At 44.2% G+C, this 3174-nt stretch overlaps 1 annotated feature.

Annotated features, from left to right (window-relative positions):
• Window positions 2279–2887: an enhancer, noted in NCBI's record as "NANOG-H3K27ac-H3K4me1 hESC enhancer chr13:39580698-39581306 (GRCh37/hg19 assembly coordinates)". NCBI's record gives its function as "activates a minimal SCP1, AML or CMV promoter by ChIP-STARR-seq in naive H9 embryonic stem cells {active_cell/tissue: H9 hESC(naive)}" and the evidence as "EXISTENCE:reporter gene assay evidence [ECO:0000049][PMID:30033119]".

The raw sequence follows: 3174 nt of genomic DNA on the forward strand, positions 1-3174 counted from the left end.
TTGGAATAGGTGTGGTGTGGTGCTGAAAAAAATGTATATTCTGTTGATTTGGGGTGGAGAGTTCTGTAGATGTCTATTAGGTCTGCTTGGTGCAGAGCTGAGTTCAATTCCTGGGTATCCTTGTTGACTTTCTGTCTCGTTGATCTGTCTAATGTTGACAGTGGGGTGTTAAAGTCTCCCATTATTAATGTGTGGGAGTCTAAGTCTCTTTGTAGGTCACTCAGGACTTGCTTTATGAATCTGGGTGCTCCTGTATTGGGTGCATATATATTTAGGATAGTTAGCTCCTCTTGTTGAATTGATCCCTTTACCATTATGTAATGGCCTTCTTTATCTCTTTTGATCTTTGTTGGTTTAAAGTCTGTTTTATCAGAGACTAGGATTGCAACCCCTGCCTTTTTCAGTTTTCCATTTGCTTGGTAAGATCTTCCTCCATCTTTTTATTTTGAGCCTATGTGTGTCTCTGCACATGAGATGGGTTTCCTGAATACAGCACACTGATGGGTCTTGACTCTTTATCCAACTTGCCAGTCTGTGTCTTTTAATTGGAGAATTTAGTCCATTTACATTTAAAGTTAATATTGTTATGTGTGAATTTGATCCTGTCATTATGATGTTAGCTGGTGATTTTGCTCGTTAGTTGATGCAGTTTCTTCCTAGTCTCGATGGTCTTTACATTTTGGCATGATTTTGCAGCGGCTGGTACCGGTTGTTCCTTTCCATGTTTAGCGCTTCCTTCAGGAGCTGTTTTAGGGCAGGCTTGGTGGTGACAAAATCTCTCAGCATTTGCTTGTCTGTAAAGTATTTTATTTCTCCTTCACTTATGAAGCTTAGTTTGGCTGGATATGAAATTCTGGGTTGAAAATTCTTTTCTTTAAGAATGTTGAATATTGGCCCCCACTCTCTTCTGGCTTGTAGGGTTTCTGCCGAGAGATCCGCTGTTAGTCTGATGGGCTTCCCTTTGAGGGTAACCCGACCTTTCTTTCTGGCTGCCCTTAACATTTTTTCCTTCATTTCAACTTTGGTGAATCTGACAATTATGTGTCTTGGAGTTGCTCTTCTCGAGGAGTATCTTTGTGGCGTTCTCTGTATTTCCTGAATCTGAACGTTGGCCTGCCTTGCTAGATTGGGGAAGTTCTCCTGGATAATATCCTGCAGAGTGTTTTCCAACTTGGTTCCATTCTCCGCATCACTTTCAGGTACACCAATCAGACGTAGATTTGGTCTTTTCACATAGTCCCATATTTCTTGGAGGCTTTGCTCATTTCTTTTTATTCTTTTTTCTCTAAACTTCCCTTCTCGCTTCATTTCATTCATTTCATCTTCCATTGCTGATACCCTTTCTTCCAGTTGATCGCATCGGCTCCTGAGGCTTCTGCATTCTTCACGTAGTTCTCGAGCCTTGGTTTTCAGCTCCATCAGCTCCTTTAAGCACTTCTCTGTATTGGTTATTCTAGTTATACATTCTTCTAAATTTTTTTCAAAGTTTTCAACTTCTTTGCCTTTGGTTTGAATGTCCTCCCGTAGCTCAGAGTAATTTGATCGTCTGAAGCCTTCTTCTCTCAGCTCGTCAAAGTCATTCTCCATCCAGCTTTGTTCCGTTGCTGGTGAGGAACTGCGTTCCTTTGGAGGAGGAGAGGTGCTCTGCGTTTTAGAGTTTCCAGTTTTTCTGTTCTGTTTTCTCCCCATCTTTGTGGTTTTATCTACTTTTGGTCTTTGATGATGGTGATGTACAGATGGGTTTTCGGTGTGGATGTCCGTTCTGTTTGTTAGTTTTCCTTCTAACAGACAGGACCCTCAGCTGCAGGTCTGTTGGAATACCCTGCCGTGTGAGGTGTCAGTGTGCCCCTGCTGGGGGGTGCCTCCGATTTAGGCTGCTCGGGGGTCAGGGGTCAGGGACCCACTTGAGGAGGCAGTCTGCCCGTTCTCAGATCTCCAGCTGCGTGCTGGGAGAACCACTGCTCTCTTCAAAGCTGTCAGACAGGGACATTTAAGTCTGCAGAGGTTACTGCTGTCTTTTTGTTTGTCTGTGCCCTGCCCCCAGAGGTGGAGCCTACAGAGGCAGGCAGGCCTCCTTGAGCTGTGGTGGGCTCCACCCAGTTCGAGCTTCCTGGCTGCTTTGTTTACCTAAGCAAGCCTGGGCAATGGCGGGCGCCCCTCCCCCAGGCTCGCTGCCGCCTTGCAGTTTGATCTCAGACTGCTGTGCTAGCAATCAGCGAGACTCCGTGGGCGTAGGACCCTCCGAGCCAGGTGTAGGATATAGTCCCATGGTGCGCCGTTTTTTAAGCCGGTCTGAAAAGCGCAATATTCAGGTGGGAGTGACCCGATTTTCCAGGTGCGTCCGTCACCCCTTTCTTTGACTCTGAAAGGGAACTCCCTGACCCCTTGCGCTTCCCAGGTGAGGCAATGCCTCGCCCTGCTTCAGCTCGTGCACGGTGCGTGCACCCACTGGCCTGCGCCCACTGCCTGGCACTCCCTAGTGAGATGAACCCGGTACCTCAGATGGAAATGCAGAAATCACCCGTCTTCTGCGTTGCTCATGCTGGGAGCTGTAGACCGGAGCTATTCCTATTCGGCCATCTTGGCTCCTCCCGGAAGTTTTTTTTAACCTAGTTTGCAAAGAGTTTTTTTTTTTTATTTTTTAGCCATTATGGTGGTTGAATTTTATCAAATGTTTAATGTTTTTGATGCATAGACCAAGAATGTTTTTTCTCTACGTGGCAAATTGCACTCTTAGATTTCCTAATGTTATTTTACCCTTGCACTCCTGAAACAAACACAACTTGATCATGGTCTGTCATCTTTTTTTAAAAAAAAAAATGCTCTACTTGTATTGCTAATACTTTATGGTTTTGTACTATTCCCTTGAGTAAGCTTGACATGTATTTTTTATTTTTCATACTATTCTTGTCTGAGTTTTGGTATCATGGTTAAGCTGGTCTTTAAGAATGACTTGAGGGGTCATATAGTCATATATAGTCAATAGAAAGAGTCAATACTCATACATAGTCAATAGAAAGAGGAGTGTCTTTCTACTGGAAGAGTTTGTATGTCCTTAAAATGGCCCATCCCTGAAAGTTCAGGACTCAGAAAAGCCTTCCAACACTGCTTCCTTTCCATTTACAAGTGTTGAGATTCTAATATAGGAGGTCCTCAAATAACATCCTTTTGTTC

Source organism: Homo sapiens, chromosome 13 (assembly GCF_000001405.40).
Source record: "Homo sapiens chromosome 13, GRCh38.p14 Primary Assembly".
Classification (NCBI taxonomy): domain Eukaryota; kingdom Metazoa; phylum Chordata; class Mammalia; order Primates; family Hominidae; genus Homo; species Homo sapiens.